This window comes from Homo sapiens, chromosome 3 (genome assembly GCF_000001405.40).
Source record: "Homo sapiens chromosome 3, GRCh38.p14 Primary Assembly".
NCBI classification, from domain to species: domain Eukaryota; kingdom Metazoa; phylum Chordata; class Mammalia; order Primates; family Hominidae; genus Homo; species Homo sapiens.
The window spans coordinates 47,997,898-48,023,715 of NC_000003.12; the positions used below are offsets into that span (position 1 = coordinate 47,997,898).

Below are 25,818 nucleotides of genomic sequence, written 5' to 3' on the forward strand. Positions count from 1 at the left end.
ACTGGAATAGTTCTATGATCTCTGAAAGAAACTAAATTCCTAGTTTAAAAATCCGACAGAAAATTCCAGGCCCAGATAGCTTTATTGATGAATTCTATCAAACACTGAAAAGAAGAAAAAATATCAATTCTATGCAAACTATTCTAGAAAAGAGAAAGAAGGGAACACTTCCCAATTCATTTTATGAAGTCGGCGTGACCTCAATTCTAAAACTGGACAGAAGACATTATGAGAAAACTACAGACCAATTCCCTCATGAACACAGATACAAAAATACTCAGCCAATTATTAGCACATCTGATCCAGGAAAATGGCAAATTTCTCTTAAAGGCTTTAATTATGCTTTAATCCTGAGGTGGGATGACTCCAAAGACAACAAATGGCATCTGATTCCAGTCTAAATGAAGTTCTGATATAACCGCAGAATTTTATTTAACTTTTCAAAGCTACTTTCAGAGAAAAGGCACAGTAGACAGTTTAATTTAGGAAATTAAGAAGAAGATTATATGGTTGTTGAAACATTAGAGAAGAAACATTAGGGTTAAAAGTCATCCACAGACTCATGAACGCTCACTCAAAGGGTGGTAAGTCTACCTCCTCGGTATCTAACAAAGAAACATAAAGTTACTAGCCTACACTAAAAAAACTCAGCTCAATTCTCAGTTTCCAAGATTATACCAAAGGCATAATCCCTAACCTGCTTTCTGAACATATATAAGCAGTCTGGTTTAAATACTTACCTTCAATCTGGCTAGTTTCTGAGCACGGTTTCTTCTTTGACTCTGAGTTCCCGGTTTTCTCATCAACATCCAGGAGAGGAATATAGTCTGTTTTTCCAACAGTTTCTCCCACAACATCATCAAAGGCCTCTGCCTCTAGTGTGGCAATGAAGTCCCGCTTTATCTCTCCCTCAATGTCTGGAGATGGTTCTGTTAATGCATCTGCAAGACTGAGGTCAGCCATTCTGCACCACTGCAACTGCCTGGTGAAGAGGAAAAAGATCTTTCATGTAACGAGCACTGCAAAAGGAAAAACATTTCTAGAAACTCTTGTCAATTGTTTGAAACAAACAAAAGAATCAAAATCTAAGATTTTACAGCTAGAAGAGGCTCCCTCATTTGAAAGATGAGAAAAATAAAGCTAAGAAATGGACAGTCTGACCCAAGGTAACTCACCGCTAGTTACTCTTTTCTCACATTTCTGGGGGTGGAGGGAGGTGGTGGTGGCAGGACAAAGCAATTGCAATTGTGTCCTTTCTATTTATAAGAAAAGTGAGGTGTAAAAAAACCCCACAATCAACATATCCAAAGCTATAGCCAGTAAGATTCAAATCAGGTCTTTACATAGTTACATTACTATCGGACAAATGAAATCAACTTTCTTGACCAAAGACTGTGAGTATGGATCTTATCTTGGAGTGAGTACCTGCTTCTTCATGAATCACTTGTGGATAGTCCTGTCAACCAAACTACTTAGCCCTGCCAGCATAAAAAAAAAAAGACACGTTTCCCTCAATTAGCTAAGGGAGATGGTCCCTCTCTGTAGTCACGTATATTACCATTTTTACAGACTACCAGCTTCTTAATTACATAATCTGCAGTTAAGTAAATCTACTGGCAGCCATAAAAAAGAACGAGATCATGTCCTTTGTGGGAACATAGATGGGAAGCAGGAGGATATTATCCGCAGCAAACTGACGCAGGAACAGAAAACCAAATACCACATGTTCTTACTTGTAAGTGGAAGCTAAATGATAACTTACGAATACAAAGAAACTGCAGACACTGGGGTCTCCTGGAGGGTGGAGGGTGGGAGGAGGGAAAGGAGCAGAAAAGATAACTATTGGGTACTAGACTTAATTGAAATAATCTGTACAACAAACCCTTGTGACATGTGTTTACCTATGCAACAAACCTTCACATATACCCTTGAACCTAAAATAAAGTTTAAAAAAAAAAAAAAAGTAAATCTATAAGCAAACCATAGGTGAATAGCCTAGAAAATACAGAAATAATGTAGTAAAAAGAGCCAAAGGGGCCAGGTGCAGTGGCTCACACCTGTAATCCCAGCACTTTGGGAGGCCGAGGCAGGAGGATCACTTGAGACCAGGAGTTCAAGACCAGCCTGGCCAACATGGTGAAACCCCATCTCTACTAAAAATGCAAAAATTAGCAAGGCATGGTGGTGGACACCTATAATCCCAGCTACTTGTGAGGCTGAGGTACGAGAATCGCTTGAACCCGGGAGATGGAGGCTACAGTGAACCGAGGTTGCGCCACTGCACTCCAGCATGGGCGACAGAGGAAGTCTCCGACTCCCCCATCAAAAAAAAAAAAAAAAAAAAAAAAAAGAGCCAAAGGCCTGCAATAAATTGGGCACCATTCAAATGCAGGGCATAATAGGAAATAAAGTGTGCAAGGTACTACGCCTGCTTTCAAAAAGTCTAACAGAAACTCCAAGAGACTCCATAGGATAAGTTGACATATAAGCTATGTTGTTGACAAGGTAAATACAAGTCAAACAGATCCTTAGTTGCACAATGTAATGGCCACTACTTGTGTTTGTCCAGAAATCTATTCTTCCTATCTCCCCTAATACAAACCAATCCCTACCCCTATAGGGTTTGGGACATGACTAGAGTTGGGTCAATCAGAAGTCAAGAAGAAGACAGTTGGAAAGGATCATTTATTGACTACACGCTGGAAGAAAAGTCCATGAGTGACAGCTATTTAGTTGCCCTGGTTGACTACTTCAAGTCTAAGTGAGCGGCCTTCATCTTTCTTTTGCCTAATTTAGCCAATCTATTTCTGTTGTTTACAATGGAAGAATCTCAACTAATACACAGTCTTTCTCCAACCCAAACTTGAAAAAGTAAAAATATACTATGATTCAAGCCACTTAATTTTCAGGCTTTCCTTTCAAGCTGTTATCCACCGTCTACCTCTCTCCAACAAATGTACTTAGGAAAAAGAAATAGAATTAAAGCAAGGAATATGGTCCTATCTTCCTTCCTTCTTATTTTATCTTCATCTTTGTTCCCACACACTCCTCTCCTCCCACTTACATGCTGTGAGGCTACCATGATTACAAAACATGTACAAAGCAAATACTTCCAGACCCTGAAAAATCAGAAGTCATCGTACCCCCAATTCCCAAATCCAACAAGCAAAGGGTGTTGCTATATATTAGAGTGGTGGCACAGAGGCTTAAGAATCAAGATCCGATACCCAAATAAGTACAGACAGGATAATTAAGGCCAGGGGCAAGATCTACATCTTCTAGGCAAGTGTCTAGAAAAAAAAGATAGTATGTGTTCAGTACTGGGAATGCTGGAGATAGTTTGTCTCTACCTATATGGAGCTTAGTGAAAACATTCATTACATATTCTTTATATTATCTAAGAAAAAAATACAATACCAAGATTTGGAAAGATATTAAATAATCAATTATATTTATATAGACTTCCAAATAAAATCTAAAAATTTCAAATAAATTTAAGCCTTCTTCCATGTGCCTAATTTTATGAGTTTTCCTATTTGAAATAACAACCTTAATTCCTCATCAATAATTTTAAATGATTATCTTTTCAAATTCTAGGTAGTACCATTATACAAAAATGTAGTAGAAAAGAGCTGTTTCTCTGATTTCTTTTCTTTTTGAGGCAGAGTCTTGCCTCACTGCAACCTCCACCTCCCAGGTTCAAGTGATCCTCCTGCCTCAGCCTCTCTAGTAGCTGGGATTACAGGTACGCACCGCCACACCCAGCTAATTTTTGCATTTTTAGTAGAGACAGGGTGCCACCATGTTGGTTAGGCTGGTCTCGAACTCCTGACCTCAAAGTGATCCACCCACCTCGGCCTCCCAAAGTGCCAGGATTACAGGTGTGAGCCCCTGCGCCCAGCCTGCTTACTTTTCTTAAAGCAAATGTGATATTTAAATTTCCTGTGACTATACTAATGAGTTCCTAAATCATATCTTTTTATTTTTTATTTTTTTCAGACAGAGTTTCACTCTTGTTGCCCAGGCTGGAGTGCAACGGCACCATCTCAGCTCACCGGAACCTCCACCTCCCAGGTTCATGCGACTCTGTCATCATACTACTTGGAATTTGATGAAGTTCATTTAGGTCTCAAAAAATGTCAAAAGATACGTGTGACCCAGATGTGGTGGCATGCACCTGTAGTTCTAGCCTTTCAGGAGGCTGGGGCAGGGAGATTGTAACTAGGAGTTCCAAGCTATAGTGTGCAATGATCACGTCTGTGAATAGCCACCACAACTCCAGGTGTGGAGCCACGATTGCATCACTGCACTCTAGCCTGGGTGACAGAGCAAGACTCTAGTCTCAAAAAGAAAAAAAAAAGAAAAAAAAAATCACACTCTGAGCCAGGCGTGGTGGTTCACACCTGTAATCCCAGCACTTTCAGAGGCTGAAGTGGGAGGATTACTTGAGACTAGGAATTCAAGACCAGCTAGGCAACATACTGAGACCCTGCCTCTACAAAAACTAAAAAAAAATTAGCTGGGTACGGTGGCATACACTTATAGTCCTAGCTACTCAGGAAGCTGAAGTGTCACAATCGCTTGAACCCGGGAGTTTAAGACTGCAGTGAGCCATGATTGTGATGGCACCACTGTACTCCAGCCTGGGTGACAGAGTGAGACCCTGTCTCAAAAAATTTTTAAAAATAAAAATAAAAAATAAATAGGGTACAGAGGCTCATGCCTGTAACCCCAACAATTTGAGAGCCTGAGGCAGCTGGATCACTTGAGGCCAGGAGTTCGAGACCAGCCTGGCCAACACGGTGAAACCCCATTTCTACTAAAAACACAAAAATTAGCTGGGCGTGGTATCACATACTTGTGGTCCCAGTTAGGAGGCTGAGGCATGAGAATCACTGGAACCTGGGAGGTGGAGGTTGCAGTGAGCCGAGATTGCACCACTGTACTCCAGCCTGGGTGACAGAAAATTTGTCTCAAAAAACAAAAATTAAATTTAAAAACTTTTAAATAAATAAGTAAAAAATAAATCACACTCTGGCTGTTAACATTAAGGCCAAAAATAAATAAATAAATAAATAAATAAATAAATAAATAAATTTAATTCCATTTAGAAATATCTAATAACTATAATAAAGTTAAATCCAATTTAATCAGTCTGTTAGAAGAAAAATAGCGACAAGAGCAAATTATGTCAAAGAAAGACACGCACTGAGAGAGTTTAATAATAGATGTCATAAAGAAGCTGTTGAATCTTCTCCATAAAAAAGTAAATATGGGCCGGGCGCAATGGCTCACACCTGTAATCCCAGCACTTTGGGAGGCTGACGTAGGCAGATCACAAAGTCAGAAGATCGAGACCATCCTGGTTAACATGGTGAAACCTCCTCTCTACTAAAAATACAAAATATTAGCCAAGCATGGTGGTGGGCACCTGTAATCCCAGCTGCTCGGGAGGCTGAGGCAGGAGAATCGCTTGAACCCAGGAGGTGGAGGTTGCAGTGAGCAGAGATCGCGCCACTGCACTCCAGCCTGGGTGACAGAGTGAGACTCCTTCTCAAAAAAAAAAAAAAAAAAAACATATTAAATTGTACAAAACTGTTATGATCAGCCATTCCAAAGCACTGGACATCAACAAACTGTAGAACACAAGTTGAGAAGCTTTGCATTCTCGAAATCTGCTTGAGCTTTGGTTAAGACCAGGAAGAGTCTATGGCCCTTTTGTCTAGAGCTGTTTCCACTCCCATCTTAGCCCACAGCTCAGTTTGGTCAGCAAGAATTACACTTTTATTAGTGTGATGGTTAACACTGAGCATCAACTTGATTGGAATAAAGGATGCAACATTGATCCTGGGTGTGTCTGTGAGGGTGTTGCCAAAGGAGATTAACATTTGAGTCAGTGGGCTGGGGAAGGCAGACACACCCTTAATTGGGTGGGCACCATCTAATCAGCCACCAGCGAACATAAAGCAGGCAGAAAAATATGAAGAGGCAAGAGGGGCCTAGCCTCCCAGTCTACATCTTTCTCCTGTGCTGGATACTTTCTGCCCTCGAACATCGGACTCCACGTTCTTCAGTTTTGGGACTTGGACTGGCTTTCCTCGCTCCTCAGCTTGCAGACAGCCTTTTGTGGGACCCTGTGATTGTGTAAGTCAATACTTACTAAATTCCTCTTTTTATAAACATACATATATATCCTATTAGTTCTGTTCCTCTAAGAAAACTCTGACCCCAGACTAACACAGACTCTGGTACCAGGAGTGGTTCCAGAGGAACAGAATGTTAAGGATGGAGTTCTTTTGTTGGTTTGGGGGTTTCTGGAGTTGGCTGCTTAATATGATTGATCCAAAAATGCTGAGGACTCTACTTCTAATAGCATGGAGAACATTCATAGTCCTTGGCGTGAACTATTTAGAGAGTTATGCAAAATAAATGCATTTGACACTCCTGATTCACTGCTCATGAAAGGTAAGGACTTTAGTGACTCTATACATAATACCTTTGACCATATGTGGAAAACCAACGAACATAATGAAGCTGGTTGGTTGCTCCTAAGTTCAGTGAACAAAGTGATGAAAGAAAATGATGAACTCAGGGATTCTGTTTCCTGGCTTCAGAAGCAGATACTGAGTCTCAAATCTGCTAAGATTGCCCTGAGTGAGAGTCTTAGCTCCTGTTGAGAAAGAGCTGAAATTGTGGAAAAACAGACATAAGCTCTTATCATGCGAGTGGCTGACCTGCAACAAAAGATGCATGCACAGCCACCTGAGGTGTCTACTGCTAAAGTGAGGGCATTGATTGGAAAAGAATGAGACCCAGAAACTTGGAATGGGGATGTGTGGGAGGACCCTGATGAAGCTGGGAACACTGAGTTTATAAACTCTGGTGAACTTTTTTTGCCAGAAGGAACAGCTTCCCCATCCCCCATAGTGGCAGCATAACCCCCCATCCCCGCCATCAACCTTTCCATCTTTGTCTACGGACATAAACCCTGAGCTGCCTGAGGCAAGAGTCATGGCCTCCTCTCAGGCAGTTGCCAGGCAAGATAATGTTGATTCTCCTTAGAAGGTACCTGCAACACCCATTTGCTTCTAGACCTATAACTCAAGTCCCACAGGTCCCTAGAGGTGAGGTTGAGAGTGTGACCCAGGAGGAGGTGCGCTACACTCAAAAAGAACTGTTCTCGGCCAGGCACGGTGGCTCACGCCTGTAATCCCAATACTTTGTGAGGCCGAGGTGGGCGGATCACGAGGTCAGGAGTTCAAGACCAGTCTGGCCAACATAGTGAAACCCTGTCTCTACTAAAAATACAAAAAATTAGCCGGGCGTGGTGGTGCACCCCTGTAATCCCAGCTACTCGGCAGGCTGAGGCAGGAGAATTGCATGAACCCGGGAGGCGGAGGTTGCAGTGAGCTGAGATTGTGCCACTGCACTCTAACCTGGCAACAGAACGAGACTCCCTCTAAGAAAAAAAAAAGAACTGTTCTCTAATTTATATAAACAGCAATCTGGAGAACAGGCATGGGAATGGGTATTAAGGGTATGGGATAATGGTGGAAGGAACATAGAGTTGGATCAGGCTGAATTTATTGATTTGGGCCCACTAAGTAGGGACTCTGCATTTAATGTTGCAGCTCGGGGAGTTAAAATAAGGTTCTAATAGTTTATTTGCTTGGTTAGCTGAAATATGCATTAAAAGATGGCCCACTGTGAGGGAGCTGGAAATGCCTGATATCTCTTGGTTTAATGTAGAGGAAGGCATCCAAAAGCTTAGGGAGATTGAGGTGGTGGAGTGGATTACTCACTTTAGACCTACTCATCCCAGCTGGGAGGGTCCAGAAGATATACCCTTGACCAATGCCTTGTGAAATAGATTTGTGAGGGCAGCACTTGAATCTTTGAAGAGCCCTGTAATTGCTCTTCTCTGCATGTCAGACCTAATGGTGAGAACCGCAGTCACTCAATTACAAAATTGAAATACGAGGGGAATAACTGGATCCCAAGGTGGCAGGGGCCAAGTAGCAGCACTCAACCATCAAAGGCAAGGTGGGCGTAGCTACCGTAATGGACAGCAGAGGCAAAGTGACAATCAGAATAGTCTGACTCATGTAGAGCTCTGGCATTGGCTAATTAATCACGGTATTCCTAGAAGTGAAACGGACAGGAAGCCTACTGCATTCCCACTTAATTTATACAAACACAAAACTTCTAGGTCGAATGGACAAAAGACTAATTTGAATTATAAAAAGAGAATCATGGCCCCTCACTCAATCCATTTCCAGACTTCAGCCAGTTTACAGACCCAGAACCCCTTGAATGAAGGGGAGGCCAGGTACCCTTGAGAAAGGACCCCACTACTTTACTGACAATTTATGCAGTGAATCTTTCTCCCATCCTTCCCCAAGGAGACCTCCATCCAACCTTTCACTTTGGGGACTACTGGACACTGGCTCTGGGCTGATGATGACTCCAGGGGACTTAAAACATCACTGTGGTCTTCCAGTTAAACTAGGGGCTCATGGAAGTCAGGTAATTAATGAAGTTTTAGCTTAGGTCTGACTTACAGTGGGCCCAGTGGGTCCCTGGACTCATCCTGTGGTCATTACCCCAGTGCCAGAATGCATAATTGGCATAGACATACTTAGCAGCTGGCAAAACCCCCACACTGGCTCCCTGACTGCTAGGTTGAGGGCTATCATGGTGGGAAAGGCCAAATAGAAGCCCTTAGAGTTGCCTCTACCTAAAAAAATAGTAAATCAAAAACAATATCACATCCCTGGAAGGTATGCAGAGATCAGTGCCACCATCAAGGACTTGAAAGATGCAGAAGTGGTGATTCCCACCACATCCCCATTAACTCTCTCATTTGGCCTGTGCAGAAGACAGATGGATCCTGGAGAATGATAGTGGATTATCATAAGCTTAACCAAGTGGTGACTCCAATTGCTGCTGCTGTTACCAGATGTGGTTTCATTGCTTGAGCAAATTAACACATCTCCTGGTACCTGCTATGCAGCCACTGACTCTGCAAATGCCTTTTTCTCTATTCCTGTCCATAAGGCCCATCAGAAGCAATCTGCCTTCAGCTGGCAAGGCCAGCAATATACCTTTACTGTCCTACCTCAGGGGTATATCAACTCTCCGGCTTTGTGTCATAATCTTATTTGGAGAGATCTTGATCGCTTTTCGCTTCCGCAAGATATCACACTGGTCCATTACATTGATGACATTATGCTGACTGGATCCAGTGATCAAGAAATAGCAAACACACTGGACTTATTGGTGTGACATTTGCATGCCAGAGGATGAGAAATAAATCCGACTAAAATTCAGGGACCTTCTGTCTCAGTAAAATTTCTAGGGATCTAGTGTTGTGGGACCTGTTGAGATATTCCCTTTAAGTTAAAGGATAAGTTGTTGTGTTTGGTCTCTCCCACAACCAAGAAAGAGGCACAATGCCTAGTGGGCATATTTGGATTTTGGAAGCAACACGTTCCTCATTTGGGTGTATTACTCCGGCCCATTTACTGAGTGACCTGAAAGGCTGCCAGTTTTGAGTGGGGTCCAGAACAGGAGAAGGCTCTGCAACAGGTCCAGGCTGCTGTGCAAGCTGCTCTGCCACCTGGGCCATATGACCCAGCAGATCCAATGGTGCTTAATGTGTCAGTGGCAGATGGGGATGTTGTTTGGAGTCTTTGGCAGGCTCCCATAGGTGAATCGCAATGGAGACTTCTAGGATTTTGGAGCAAGGCCCTGCCATCTTCTACAGATAACTACTCTCCTTTTTTTTTTTTTTTGAGACGCAGTGTCACTCTGTTGCCAAACTGGAGTGCAGTGGTGCGATCTCGGCTCAATGCAACCTCCACCTCCCAGGTTCAAGCGATTCTCCTGCCTCAGCCTCCCAAGTAGCTGGGAATACAGGTGCGTGCCACCACATCCAGCTAATTTTTGTATTTTTAGTAAAGATGGGGTTTCACCATGTTGGCCAGGATGGTCTCGATCTCTTGACCTTGTGATCCGCCCACCTCAGCCTCCCAAAGTGCTGATTACAGCTAACTACTCTCCTTTTGAGAGTCAGCTCTTGGCCTGTTACTGGGCTTTAGTGGAAATTGAATGTTTGACTATGGGTCATCAAGTCACCATGCGACCTGAACTGCCCTGCCTATCATGAGCTGGGTGCTTTCAGACCCATCTAGCCATACAGTGGATTGTGCACAGCAGCATTCCATCATCAAATGGAAGTGGTATATACGTGATCGGGCTCAAGCACGTCCTGAAGGCACAAGTAAATTACATGAGGAAGTGGCTCAAATGCCCATGGCCTCCACTCCTGCCACCCTGCCTTCTCTCTCCCAGCCTGCACTGATGGCCTCATGGGGAGTTCCCTATGATCAGCTGACAGAGGAAAAGAAGATTAGGGCCTGCTTCACAGACGGTTCTGCATCATATGCAGACAACACCCGAAAGTGGAGAGCTGCAGCACTACAACCCCTTTCTAGGACATCCCTGAAGGACAACAATGAAGGGAAATCTTCCCAGTGGGCAGAACTTCGAGCAGTGCACCTGGTTGTGCACTTTGAATGGAAGGAGAAATGGCCAGATGTGTGATTATATACTCATTCATGGGCTGTAGCCAATGGTTTGGCTGGTCAGGGACTTGGAAGGAGCATGATTGGAAACTTGGTGACAAATTTGGGGAAGAGGTATGTGGATGGACCTCTCTGAGTGGTCAAAGACAAGATATTTGTATCCCATGTGAGTGCTCACCAACAAGTGACCTCAGCGGAGGAGGGGTTTAATAATCTAGTGGATAGGATGACCCATTTTGTGGACACCACTCAGCCTCTTTCCCCTGCCATCGCCCATGGCCAACAAAGTGGCCATGGTGGCAGGGATGGAAGTAATGCTTGGGCTCAGCAACATGGACTTCCACTCACCAAGGCTGACCTGGCTACGGCCACTGCTGAGTGCCTAATTTGCCAGCAGCAGAGACCGACACCAAGCCCTCAGTATGTCACCATTCCTTGGGTGATCAGCCAGCTACCTGGTGGCGGATTGATTATATTGGACCTCTTCCATCATGGAAAGGGCAGAGGATTGTCCTCACTCAAATAGACACTTACTCTGGATATGGGTTCGCCTATCCTGTATGCAATGCTTCTACCAAGACTACCATTTGTGGAATGTTTTTTTGGTTTGTTGTTGTTGTTGTTGTTGTTGTTTTGAGAAGGGGTCTCACTCTGTTGCCCAGGCTGGAGTGCAGTGGCACAATCTTGGCTCATTGCAACATCCGCCTCCCGGGTTCAAGTGATTCTCCTGCCTCCGCCTCCCAAGTAGCTAGGATTACAGGCACCCGCCACCACACCCAGCTAATTTTTGTATTTTCAGTAGAGACAGGGTTTCACCATGTTGGCCAGGCTGGTCTTGAACTCCTGACTTCAAGTGATCTGCCTGCCTCGGCCTCCCAAAGTGCTGGGATTACAGGCGTGAGCCACCGCACCCAGCTGACTCATGGAATGCCTTATCCACCATCATGGTATGCCACGCAGCATTGCCTCTGACCAAGGCACTCACTTTACAGCTAAAGAAGTGCGGCAGTAGGCTCATGCTCATGGAATTCACTGGTCTTACCATGCTCTCCATCATCCTAAAGCAGCTGGATTGACAGAACAGTGGAATGGCCTATTGAAGTCACAATTACAACGCCAACTAGGTGACAATACTTTGCAGAACTGTGGGAAAGTCCTCCAGAAGGCCGTGTATCCTCTGAATCAGCGTCCAATATAAGGTACTGTTTCTCCCATAGCCAGGATTCACAGGTCCAGGAATCGAGGGGTGGAACTGGAAGTGGCACCACTCACCATCACCCCTAGTGATCCACTAGCAAAATTTTTGCTTCCTCTCCTGCAACATTATGTTCTGCTGGCCTAGAGGTCTTAATTCCAGAGGGAAGAATGCTGCCACCAGGAGACACAACAATGATTCCATTAAACTGGAAGTTAAGATTGTCACCTGGACACTTTGGGCTCCTCCTCCCTTTAAGTCAACAGGCTCAGAGGGGGAGTTACAGTGTTGGCTAAGGTGACTGACCCAGACTATCAAGATGAAATCAGTCTACAACTTCACAACGGAAGTAAGGAAGAGTATGCATGGAATACATGAGACCCATTAGGGCATCTCTTCGTATTACCATGCCCTGTGATTACTGTCAATGCAAAACCACAACAGCCAAATCCAGGCAGGACTACAAATGATCCGGACCATTCAGGAATGAAGGTTTGGATCACTCCACCAGGAAAAAAACCCATGACCTGCTGAGGTATTTGGGGAAGGCAAAGTTAATACAGAATGGGTAGAAGAAGGTAGTCATCAATACCAGCTATGACCACGTGACCAGCTGCAGAAATGAGGACTGTAACTGCCATGAGTATTTCCTCCTTCATTTGTTAAAAACATGTTTGTGTATGTATACACATGTACTAATATCTTCACTTTATATTTCCTTTTCCTTTATCATGTGACATAAGATTTATTGATTTCATAACAGCATTTAAGTATTATTAACTTTATGTAATAGTATTTGGGTTGGGGATTGGTGTGTTTCTGGTTGTATGAAGGATAGTTTTATTACATTAGGTGTAATTATGACCTTATTATTGTCTTTATTTTAAGATTACATACGATCTCAGATGTATATGGGTTCAAGTTGACAAGGAGTGGACTTGTAATGTTAATACTGTCAACTTGATTGGACTGAAGGATGCAATATTGATCCTGGGTGTATCTGTGAGGGTGTTGCCAAAGGAGATTAACATTTGAGTCAGTGGGCTGGGGAAGGCAGACCCACCCTTAACTGGGTGGGCACCATCTAATCAGCCACCAGCGAATATAGAGCAGGAAGAAAAACATGAAGAGATGGGCCTAGCCTCCCAGCCTATATCTTTCTCCCGTGCTGGATGCTTCCTGCCCTCGAACATCGGACTCCAAGTTCTTCATTTTGGGGACTCGGATTGGCTCTCCTTGCTTCTCAGCTTGCAGACAGCCTACTGTGGGACCTTGTGATCACGTAAATCAATACTTAATAAACTCTCCTTTGGAGATATATCCTATTAGTTCTGTCCCTCTAAGAGAATCCTGACTAAAACAAGTAGTGTGGGGCTCGTGACAAAAACTGATAGCTTTGCTGCCAAAGGGGCTCCTGTGGCATGACAGAGCTGTTGTCCACAGCAAATGCCATCTCACACTACTGGAATTATAAATTCCACTATTTGAATAACCACTGCCGAATTCAGGATTTAGCAGCTTTTCTGAAGGAACCATAAATAGGAATTCAATGGTTCCTATAGTAGGAACTGGACTTGGTAATCCCAGCCTGTAATCTCCCAGCACTTTGGGAGGCCAAGGCGGGTGGATCACTTGAAGCCAGGAGATTGAGACCAGCCTGGCCAACACAGTAAAACCCTATCTCTACTAAAAATACAAAAACAGAATAACTAGCTGGGCACTGATTTTTATTATTTAGATGGTATGCACCTGTAATCCCAGCTACTCAGGAGGCTGAGGCAGGAAAATTGCTTGAACCCAGGAGGTGGAGGCTGCAGTGAGCCAAGATCACGCCACTGCACTCCAGCCTACGTAACAGAGCAAGACTCCGTCTCAAAAAAAAAAAAAAAAGTTCCTATAGTAGTAGTGGCACACCTGTGACCCATTTACAACAGACGAATGTGGGTGGGAAGCCCTATTCTATGCTCGTCCAGCCTACTTTACATATAAAGTATTATTGTAACTCCAGATCATGACAGGGAAAATGCTGAGAAATGAGTTCATTAAAGAGCTTTTAAAAGCCTAACAGATTATAATGTCAAAGGGTTCCATGAAAAGCAACTATTCAGTTGCTTTTACTATTCGGTTATGCCATTTCCCTATTCTATCTCTGACAACTATTATTAGTAGTTATCCTTTGGGAGCTGTTATGAACCAAAAACTAAAAAGGACGTCTGTAACTAGTTTTGATAGAGGCAAGAGGCAAACAAATGTCTAGGCAGACAGGGGCGGGTCCTCAGTGAAACCCGAACTTTAATCCGGAAACTGTCCTGGGTAAATCCTGAGATCGGATTAAGAACCTGCCTTCCCGTTTGGCATGATTGATCCCCATCCTTCACCTATTTAACCTGTACCTACCCTTTCCTAATTGGTTTTCTACACTGTCCTGCCCACCTTGGAGTGGTGTCTTCGCTTTGACCTTTTTTGCATACTCACAAACCAATGACCACACACTCCCATTCTGAACCAATAAAGAGCCCCAGGCTCAGCCATATTACGGAACTTTCCTGTCTTCAGGTAGTAGAACCACCTACCATGTTCTCTCTTTTTGCTAAGAGCTTTCCTTTCGATTAATAGATTCTACTCCACTCACTCTTTGATGTCCACGTGCCTAATTCTTCCGCTCCTGAGATAAGAACCTGGACCTAGTTGAGCTAAGGAGCAAAAATCCTGCATCAGTTTCATGGTCAAAGAGAACTTAAAAGGACATCTGTGCCATCCTTAACAACATACCATAAAAATCCAAAATTTAATTTTCCCCAGAAATACATAATGACATAAGATGCAATCTACTCAAATCTTTTCCTCATTTAAGGCACAGGGTAAAAATACAGTCAAAAACACCAATACATTTTAAATATCATTTATCAGAATGCAGATTATCAAAGGGCAGCTTTTATCCATTGTAATCTTTCCCCTATCCAACCCTCAGCACCCCCACCCCGCCCCCAGCCACACACTCTCAGATGACTTCCTGGGCTGCATGTGGTTCATGGAATATGAACAGTAGCTGAAATTCAGCCTAAGAGGGTAAAACTGATAGAAAATTATACAATTGGAAAGTGGGAAGGTCATGAAGCTATGAGCACATCTAGCTAGCCACTTAGCATCTGTATTTCATCAACAGTTAAGCTATTCTTTACTTGTCACCACATAAATAGAATATGATTTTAAAATACACACACACACCCCCTTATGGAAAATGATCCTAGAAAGGTAATGCTAGTGTCATCTTTCAAGTTAAAGTACTGTTGTTTTTTTTTTCCCAGAAATCCCCAGTTTTCAATAAATTAAAGCGATTATCCAATTTTATAGTTATTTTATTCTGAAACATGTATAAGTACAATACACTCTTTAAATGCTCTATAGATGTTAAACTGGTTCAAGTATTCCAAAATTAATTTTAATAAATTCATGTATGAATTTCATCTCACACAGAATCACTTGAAGTTACTTACTATTCGGTTATGCCTTAAATGCTTAGTTACATATTTTATGGATAAAAGGATATGACACTATTATTTTCAAATCTGGATGTTCAGGAGGATCAAAAAATGAACCCTTGTGAATGAGAAGCATTTACTCTAAAAAAAAAACCTCTCACTGACCAATTGACCATTTATACTATTCCTCTTCTATCCATACAGATAATAAAGTTAACTTTAAATAGATTTGTGAGTAAGAGTCAAGAGAATTTGAAAGCTGGGTACAGAAGTCTGTATGCTTTACTGAAGCACCAGTTTAATCTGACACTCACTGTGGCCTTGAATGAGTCACCTTTCAGGGCTGAGTTCTCTAATCTGTAAAATGAGAGTGTTATGTTAAATGTTTACTGAGGTTGATTATTCTATCAGCTACTTGTAATTCAGCTGCATCATTTCAGTTAGCTATAAATAAACCCCCTAAGACCCTCAGTGTGAATATGAACAACTATCATTTCATATTATTTCATATATCAAGTATTCTCATTTATAATTGGGTTGAGGTTTATTAAAAAAAAAAAAAAAAGCTTTTTGGCAAAGGGAGGGACTGAAAACAAATTCACCACTGCATGGTGCCCTGCTTGAGCCAATCTGACTGGAGCTTAAGAAACTCCACCCAGTTCTGGCTAACATCAAAGGAGACTCAACACCACTCTGCCAGAAAATAAGCCCTGTATTATCTAACCAGGCACTAAGGGAACACACAGTTTTCAAGCACAGCACTTTGTATATCTGATCTTTCATTCTGATGACATGCCTGAAGTGAAACTATTAGTGAGCCGGGTTTTTTAAAATAGGTAAACTAAGGCAAGAGGCAACTACATGGCATGATGATAAAATACTCTCTTGACTACAATCTCACTATTAAGAGCTAGGTGCTCATAAACAGGAAATAAGGATATATGATGAGGCCACAGTACTTTGTTGTATGCTTTACTTTGGATAGTTCACAAACTCTGGAATTAATTACTGTACTAAAAATATTTTACAGGTCTATACAGATTAAACAGTGTTAATATCTAACTTAATTACACAGAAGTTCTGAAGAACCTTTTAAGCTCCATGAAGTCCTCCTGAAAATTTTAGGTCATTCGCATCTAGAGCCACTCACTCGGGGTCTGTGCTCATTCTGTCTGATGAGAAATTGGCAATCTGGTTTACCAATGGCCTGTTGCTGTCTCTGTCCTCTTCTATTCACCCCTTGAAAGGTGCTACTATGGGAGCTAAAATGCAGGGAAAAAACTCATGAAAAGCTAGAACAGAGCTTGGGCAAAATGGCAAAACCCCATCTCTACAAAAACATGTAAAAATTAGCCAGGCATGGTGGCACATGCCTGTAGTCCCTGCTACTCAGGAGGCTGAGGTGGGAGGACTGATTGAGCCCAGGAGGTTGAGGCTGCAGTGAGCCACTATTGCACCACTGCACTCCGGCGTGGGCAACAGAGTGAAACCCTGACTCAAAAAAAAAAAGCAAGAACAGAAGCCTGATTCCCACCATCATACTCACTTTTCCTAACCACTGTGTTAGGAAACCTTCATTTTACTGTGTCACATTAGCCAAATTTCTACCGACATTCATTTGCAGTAGCCAGCATTCTCTTTTTAAAAGTATAGAATCCTATTTCTTAATTTAAAAGTGGGTAAGAAAATGTACATCCCTGGAAAGACCATTGTTCATCCCAGAGATGGTTCTATTGAAGATGTCTGAGTTCTTGGTTCTGGTGTGAAAAAGGAAGAAAAATATTATGGCAACATGGGAACTTTCAGGGAATAAAGCAGATATAGATATGGTATCAAAGTAGGGAAAGGGTATACAGGCCCAGGAGCCCTAGGAGGCAAAAGAAAGGGAGTTAATACCATGCCAAAGACAAGCTTGCTATCTTTCAAAATATCGCCTCCTGTCAGTTTCAGCAGAAAGAAATAAACTTTCTTCTCAGTGACCTAGGCTACTTTGAGGCAAATCATTTTGAGTTCCAAACAACCCATTTAATAAACTTTAAATAATTATTACTAAAGGTAGGATACTGCTTATAATGCTCACTTATATTTTCTCTATAACTGATAGCCTGTCCTTTTTGGGTGGGTGGGGGCGGGGGCGGTTATGGACAAGACAAGGAACCATAAAGATATCTGGGTTAATGTTTTCTTTTATACGTTTGTTTTTGCATGACATTTAAATGACAGAGAATTCTAAAGCCAACACTAAGCTGCTATCCTAGGACATTAGTGAGAATGCTGTGGCCAAAATATAGTGCTCATTCCTCAGGCTTGAAAGGAACCCCACGTCGCCAGTGTGGGAGATCATTTATAATCTTGATGGATACAGGTATAGCCTGCTTCATAATAATTTAATATTCAACATCAGATTTTTTTTTAGTATGCCTAGCAGGTTTTTAGTTACTAATTAACTTTATTACCCAGATTTGTTTCTTACTGAACTTCTTTCAGAGGCCTGTTATACATCAAGCTGAACTTTGTCTGGCAGCTGTGCTGTTTTTAATTTATTTAACCACAAAACCTTGATTTATACTTTCAAGCAAAATGATATTTTACTTAAAAATAAATCTTTAGCAAGGATGTCTACAGGAATCAACTACCAACTTACACAGTTCACAGACACATATGATTCCTCAGACAAATCTGAATTTCTCCTGCTTCTCCTCCAAACCAGACTTGCAGATAGCAACAGACAACTGAGGAAGATCTTGACTATCCTGAGCAATAAACTACAACCCCCCTGAAGAATATATTAACTGTCCACCCCTAGGTTCCTCCCTACACAGTTCAAGGACAACAGCTGTGCTATTACAAACTGATGGAATTTCCAGGCTTGACAGGGTTCTGTTCGTAACCACCATTTGTCCTGTTCATCATAGGATTAGCAACAGCAGAGAGCCCTTGATTACTAGAATAGCTGAGGCCATCACACAGCTACATTCCTACATGAAAGAACACACTGATATAGGTTTAAAGAAGTTATATTTTACTTTCATGTAGTTACCAGAGTCCCCCCCACCCCCCATTTAAGGGAGCCCTGTTCTCTGGATATAAAAATACTGTATACACTTGCACACACATACTCACATACATAAAACCTTGCATCACAAAGTTAAAAGGCTACCTTGCTTACTTACAGGAACTATCCAGGCAGCTTGTGTTCAGTCCTGACTAAATGCATTTTGGATCAGGCACCTGCCTTCAACATTTCTGTCCAAATGAATTTCAATCTATTTCTCCAGGAAGAACACACCAGATACCTCCCACTGTTAGCCATGTGATACAGGCAGCATGATGTCTGAAGTCTGGTTACGGTTATGTAGGCCAAAATAAGAAATGACAATGACACAGCACTTACATTTCTGATATCACCAACCTTAAGAATGAATCTTCCATTTTATCTAAATTTTTTAAATGAGTAAAACTTTAAAAGATTCTTAATACCTAACCCCTCAAAATTTTGAAAAAGGAGCATTTTTTTTAAACTTTACATTTATCCCACTTCCTTCCTCTAACACAGGAAAACATTCAGAGTTAATCTATACCAATCCAAAAATTATTTCTAACCACATTCTAAAGGCATTTTTTTTTTTTTTGAGACAGGGTCTTGGCCTGTTGCCCAGGCTGGAGAATGCAGTGGCATGATCTCAGCTCACTACAACCTCCGCCTCCTGGGTTCAAGTGATTCTCCTAACTCAGCCTCCTGAGTAGCTGCGATTGCAGGCATGCACACCACCATGCCTGGCTAATTTTTGTATCTTCAGTAGAGACGAGGTTTCATCATGTTGGCCAGACTGGTCTCAAACTCCTGGCCTCAAGTGATCCACCCATCTTGGCCTCCCAAAGTGCTGGGATTACAGGCATGAGCCACCATGCCTGGCTCTAAAGGCTTACACCAGTTGAACTGATCTAGGATCCAATCCCCTCACTTTAATAGATGGAAAAAAAAATGAGAAATGGAAAAAACAAGTCACTTACAAATGAGGCTGAGACAAAGGATCGGCGAAAAGAGCCACAGAACACCAAAAACAGAAGCAGAGCGTGACAAAATAAGCAAAACCTTACAGTTTTGTAGTTTCTGCTTTTATCTAACACAATGACTTCGCTGTACTTCATATACCTTTTGAATTATACCTGCTTATACATACCTTTACCTACCTACTACTTATACCTACCTATCTTTTCTTCTGCAAGGAGGGAGGCAGGCAGGAAGAATCCTGAACATCAGGAAAACATTCCACCTGATCTTTAAAGGGACCCCAATGCCTAGATGTCTTTTTCTTTTTTCTTTTTTTTTTTTTTTGTAAATCCAAACTCTTACGTGTAATATCAAGGCTGACTGACAAGACTCAGTCCTATCACCCACCATAATCATCAGCAGCTTTCCATGTAGGGTCTCCCTACAATTTAGTCACATGGGACCATCTACCATCTTACATTATCACTGTACACCCTATGCTCATTTGCTCTCCAAACTTGAAGTTATCTTCTCTCCCTCCTCATTTGTGAAAGTCTTGAAATCAAGGTCCACATAAATTGTCTTACCACCTTTTCTGTGACTGCTTTTTAGAATCTTTCTCCCAGTAGTATTCAGAACTAATACATCATCTGTACTTGTAACAGTAGAGTCTGATCTATACTGTAGTTCAGTGGTCCCCAAACCTTTTGGCACCAGGGACAGGTTTCGTGGAAAACAATTTTTCCACAGATAGCAGGAGGGGTGAGAGGGAGGAGATGGTTTCGGGATGAAACTCTTCCACCTCCGATCATCAGTCATTAGATTCTCACAGGAGCATGCAACCTAGATCCATCGCATGTGCAGTTCACAATAGGGTTTGCGCTCCTATGATAATCTAAAACCACTGCTGATCTGACAGAAGGCAGAACTCAGGCACACTTATCGCAAAGTTAATGTAATGCTGTTCACCTGCTGCTCACCTCCTGCCGTGCAGCCCAGTTCCTAACTGGCCATGGACTGGTACCAATCTACAGACCGAGGGTTGGGGACCCCCCACTGTAGTTAGTTGTATATACCAGCTCCTGTAAACTGCTGGGTCCCAGAAGAGAGGACCACATCAAAGTGATGTGCACACCTTCTCTGTTCCTAGTAGACTACAGAGGAGACAGGCCAAAATGATAAAAACCAACAAAACAAGGGGCTAAAAACACATTTCTAAAATGACACGATGAAAGTTATTAGAAATTGAATCTAATTTGAAATTAATCAGAAGTTCCAAAATTACAAAAACTCTTCACAACTAGAAAAAGAATAAACAGATTCAAGGCTGAAAGGTTATCACCAATTACAAATATTCACCTTGGCTAGGTGTGGTGGCTCATGCTTGTAATCCCAGCACTCAGCACTTTGGGAGGCTGAGGTGGGTGGATTATGAGGTCAAGAGATTGAGACCATCCTGGCCAACAAGGTGAAACCCCTCTCTACTAAAAATACAAAAATTAGCCGGGCGTGGTGGTGTGCACCTGTAGTCCCAGCTACTCGAGAGGCTGAGGCAGGAGAATCACTTGAACCTGGGAGGTGGAGGTTGCAGTGAGCCAAGATCGTGTCACTGCACTCCAGCCTGGGTGACAGAGTGAGACTCTGTCTCAAAAAAATAAAAATAAAAAAGAATATTCACCTATTTTCTTCCACTTTCTAAACACAGTTTGTACAAGAGCAAGCATGTTGTCTGGAATTATAGAAAGAAAGCCAGTAAGGAGTAACCGTACGAACCAGCTCTCCATGCTGGTCATCTTATCATTATTAGGCATAGCAATAAAAATAGCTCTCTCTGCTTTTAGAAAAGCATGACATGATGCAATGTGGCAAAAACAAATATTCAAGATGGTCGACCAGTTACTGGCCTGGCATGGTGACTCACACCTGTAATCCCAGAACTCTGGGAGGCCAAAGCAGGAAGACCACTTGAGCCCAGGAATTCAAGACTAGCCTGGGCAAGATGGCAAGACACCATCTCTACAAAAAAAAATGTTTTTAATTAGCTGGGCATGGTGGTGTGTGCCTGTAGTGCCAGCCTCTCAGGAGGCTGAGGCAGTAGGATTCCTTGAGCCCAGGAGCTTGAGGATGCAGTGAGCTATGATTACAACACTGTACTCCAGTCTGGGCGAGAAAGTGAGACCACATCTCTGAGGGACAGAGAGAGAAAGAGAGAAAGATATCAGCCACTACCATCATGTTAATATGATCATATAAATATTAAAACTTTATAATTATTAAAATATTAAATCTCTATAGTTATCAGCTCATATATCTGTCAGAAAGTAATAAGCATATCATGTAACTTTAGGATGACTTAGTGCTGAGGAGATTGGAAGAAAGGAAGAATATTCATACTTGATCAGCTCTTAGCTTTTGAGAACTATTTTATTAAAGAAAAAACTCTCTTTTGGCTGGGCATGGTGGTTCATGCCTATAATCCCAACATTCTGGAAGGCTGAGGCAGGAAAACTGCTTGAGCCCAAGAGTACAAGACCAGCCTGGGCAACACAGTTGAGACTGCGTCTCCACAGAAAACATTTTAAAATTAGCCTGCACACCTGTGGTCCCAGCTCTTGGGAGGCTGAGGTGGACGGATCACTTCAGCAGAGGAAGTTCAAGGCTGCAGTGAGCCGTGATAGCACCACTGCACTCCAGCCTGGGCTACAGAGTGAGGCCCTGTCTTGAAAATAATAGATAACAAAAGAAAAACTTCTCCCATTAAGCAAAGTGAAGTTTCACTCTATTTTATATCAGTGAAAATAAAGAAAAGTGGAAGGTAGAAGAGGACATAGGAATTTGTGCTGCCAATTCTATAATTTTTGTTTTGTTTTGTTTTTTGTGGGGTTTTTGAGACGGAGATTTTTGTATTTTTAGTAGAGACAGGGTTTCACCATGTTAGTCAGGCTGGTCTTGAACTCCTGACCTCAAGTGATTCGCCTGCCTCAGCCTCCCAAAGTGTTGGGATTACAGGTGTGAGCCACCATGCCCACCCTTGTAATTGTTTATTTACAATGTGTGTCCCACCCAGAGTTCCCCTTAACGCTTGAGTTCCTCGATGGCTAGGATAGCATCTTTCTCACCTTTTATCCTGGACATCTAAATATAATAAACTTGAAACCTCACAGGCTCTCATTAAATGCACATTTGTCCTGCTAGGTGCGCTCTGCTCCATACCATACCAGCCTTCTCTTGCTGGGGTTGATGTTTGCACAGCTGGAAGCACCCTCATAGTTCTTCTAAGTATTGGTTCTAGGCACGACTAAGGGTAGAGTAGCTCAGCTTTTCTGAGCAAGAAGGAGAAGATACAAACTCTATGGGAGTACTTAACAAGCATTTTGTAGTCGTGGCAAAGGCCTTACTTTGACCTAATATCTTACAGATGCTTTCAAAAAGGAGGGGGGGAATATCATTATTAAATGAAAATTGAACAGCAAAAGTTGAAGAGATCTTTCAAGTTATTAGTAACATAACTTTTAATATTTTACCTGAAATACAAGTAAAAATCTGAATTAAAAGTATTAAAAAAACAAAAAAAACACGCTGGATCAGAATTGTTCAGGGACAGGGTTAAGCAATATGAGTATTATTTGTTGTTGTTGTTTTGTTTTTTTTAGAGACAAGTCACACTATGTTGCCCAGGCTGGAGTGCATTGGCTAGTCACAGGTGTGCTCATTGTACACTACAGCTTCAAGCTCCTGGGCTCAAGCGATCCTCCAGCCTCAACCTCCCAGGTAGCTGAGACTAGAAGCATGTGCTACTGCACCAAAAATCTCAGTGTTGTTGGTTTTCTTGCAGTAAGGGTAATCATGACACAGAGAAATCTCATTAAAGTTGAGTCCGAGAGGCACCCACAATTGAGGGTCACTGAATTAATCAACAATCTACCTAATCCATTCAAGATAAAATTCACTGAAATGAAATGCAACACAGGATTAATACAACTTAACAATAGAAAGACATCACACTCCCCCTTGTTAGGAAGGTGTTTTAGAATCAGTTTACTAGATGTAGAATCTGAGGCACGGATTTTTGTACAAGTGATTTACTAAGGGAGTGCTTTTAGGAAAAACCTATAAGGTTTTATTTTATTTTAAGGTTTTATGATATTTTAAAGGTATCAACTATCCCCAAACTAATCTATAGTTTTTGTTTGTTTTTGTTTTTTTTTTTAGACAGAGTCTCACTCTGTTGCCCAGGCTGGAGTGCAGTGGCACATGATCTTGGCTCACTGCAACCTCCGCCTCCCAGGTTCAAGCAATTCTCCTGCCTCAGCCTCCTGAATAGCTGGGACCACAGGCGTGCGCCACCACATCCGGCTAATTTTTGTATTTTTAGTAGAGACAGGGTTTCACCATGTTGGCCAGGCTGTTCTCAAACTCCTGACCTTGTGATCCACCTGTCTTGGCCTCCTAAAGTGTTGGGATTACAGGCGTGAGACACCACGCCCGGCCTAATCTATAGATTTAACATAACCCCAAGCAAAGTCCAGTAGGTTTTTTCTTTTCAAATCAAACTGAAAAGTTGATCCTAAGTTTTACATAGTAATTTAAAAAGTCAAGAACAGCTAAGATAATCTTTGAGAACAAACTTAGAGGAACTTAAACTACTGGATATCAAAACTTACTGATGGATTGAACCATGTGAAAATGCTGAAAACTGATGAGTTTCTAACCTATGGCAATGTCATATGTTTGAAACTAAAAATACATAAATATAGTAATGAAAACATTGTGGTACCTGCACAATCACCAAGAAAGAGGCCAATGTACTTGGTGTGCTGAACATATGGAAAAACAAAACAAAACAAAACAAGAGGCCAATGCAAAAAAATGGTTTTGAAACGGAACCACATGCATATGGATACTTAATATCTGACAAATGTGACACTGCAAAATAGTGGGGGAATTAACTGTCTTTTCAATAAGTGGTGCTGGGTCAACTGGATATTTTGAGCTCTACCTCACAGTATATACAAAAAGTAATTCCAGGTGGATGGCAGCCCTAAATGTGAACGGTAAACAATAACATGGCGAATATTTTCATGATCACAGAGGCAGATGAAGAAAACGAACAGACAATGGAGAGAGTAGAGAGACAGGGACAAAAGAAGGAAAAAAGAAAAGCAAAAAGAAGATGATGAGGTGGGAGGATCATTTGAGCCCAGGAATTTGAATACAGCCTCGGCAAGGTGGCAAGAAGGGAGGGAGGGAAATTCCCCTCAGCAGTACTTACCAACTTACAAGAAACAGATGGGCTTATTTCTAATTGTAACACTAAATGATTTTTTTTAAAAAATGAAGTGATGCCTTTAAAACTGAGAAAAACTATTTTGAAGCTAGATTTTTACAGCCAACTCATCCATTAAGTGAAGGCTAAAATGGGAAATTCAAACACACAATTTAAAAAAAATTATTGGCTGGGCGTGGTGGCTCATGCCTGTAATCCCAGCACTTTGCGAGGCTGAGGCGAGCGGATCACAAGGTCAAGAGATGGAGACCATCCTAGCCAACATGGTGAAACCCCGTCTCTACGAAAAACACAACAAAATTAGCTGTGCGTGGTGGCATGCGCCTATAGTCCCAGCTACTCAGGGGGCTGAGGCAGAAGAATCACTTGAACCCGGGAGGCAGAGGTTGCAGTGAGCCAAGATTGCGCCACGGCACTCCAGCCTGGGCAACAGAGTGACACTCCATCTCAGGGGGGAAAAAAAAAAATTTATTTTCCAGGCATTCTTTCTGAAAATGAACTTCAGCACAGACTCCAGGAAATGAAAAATGAACACAGCATCCTATTAAAGCTGCAATATCCAAAAAATAGTACCATTAGCCTACAAGAGAAATGAAATGCAATCCTAGGATGACGATAATGCACTAGGATCTAGAAACAACTCTGTCCAAAATTAACCTTTCCATAGTGTAATTTAAAAAGACCAATGACTTAGACATGTGGTGCAAATGGTATATGAAAAAAGGTGCAATTAAAAACAGGGGAGGGGAGCAGTTTACTGAAAGAGAACTACACAAGAAAGTACTAATCCAAACATAAGGCAAACTGAACTATGGCATTATTCTGAGATAATTATATATTTTAAGGAGACAAGGCTTAGAATTAGAACACTCTCATCAAACTTACCAACATAAGATGGATCCATAAAGAAGGATATTTTGTATTTACATACAAATGAACATGTACAATATAATGTATCAAGAAAGAACAAAAAAGGAGAAAAGAGAAGGAGGCTTCGGAAAGATGGAGATGACTCCAAAACAGCAGCTGAAATCAACTGAAAGACTTTTGCTGACTCTCTGAGTTTACTCTTAAGTGGGCAGAAGTCAAAGAGAACTTTGCCTGCTCACTGGAATGTGTTTCTCTATTGGTCTCTAAGTCTGCATGTGCTGACCTTTAAAAGACAGTATAAGGTTTGTCTGTTTTCCCTTCTGCTAGCAGGCTGCTAGACTGAACATGGTAGACAATGACTTTCCCTCTGAAGTTGGCTGTGTTCAATATTCTATTGTTTTTCT

At 41.9% G+C, this 25,818-nt stretch overlaps 1 protein-coding gene across 167 annotated transcripts in view; it reads right to left on the minus strand.

Annotated features, from left to right (window-relative positions):
* The window catches only part of MAP4 (microtubule associated protein 4), a 238,154-nt gene that overhangs the window by 147,203 nt on the left and 65,133 nt on the right, over positions 1 to 25,818 (minus strand). For 146 of the 167 annotated variants that reach the window (NM_001384680.1, NM_001384817.1, NM_001384753.1 and 143 more), the window contains one exon: positions 741 to 982. The exons of 4 other annotated variants lie outside the window; for them this stretch is intronic. In NM_001384680.1, coding sequence (NP_001371609.1) covers positions 741 to 963 — 223 coding nt within the window. In that variant the 5' untranslated portion in view covers positions 964 to 982. Of the gene's footprint in view, positions 1 to 740; positions 983 to 15,577; positions 15,621 to 18,423; positions 18,520 to 25,818 lie in introns of those variants that run through there. 17 more of the 167 variants (NM_001385676.1, NM_001385664.1, NM_001385685.1 and 14 more) reach the window with 4 other exon arrangements.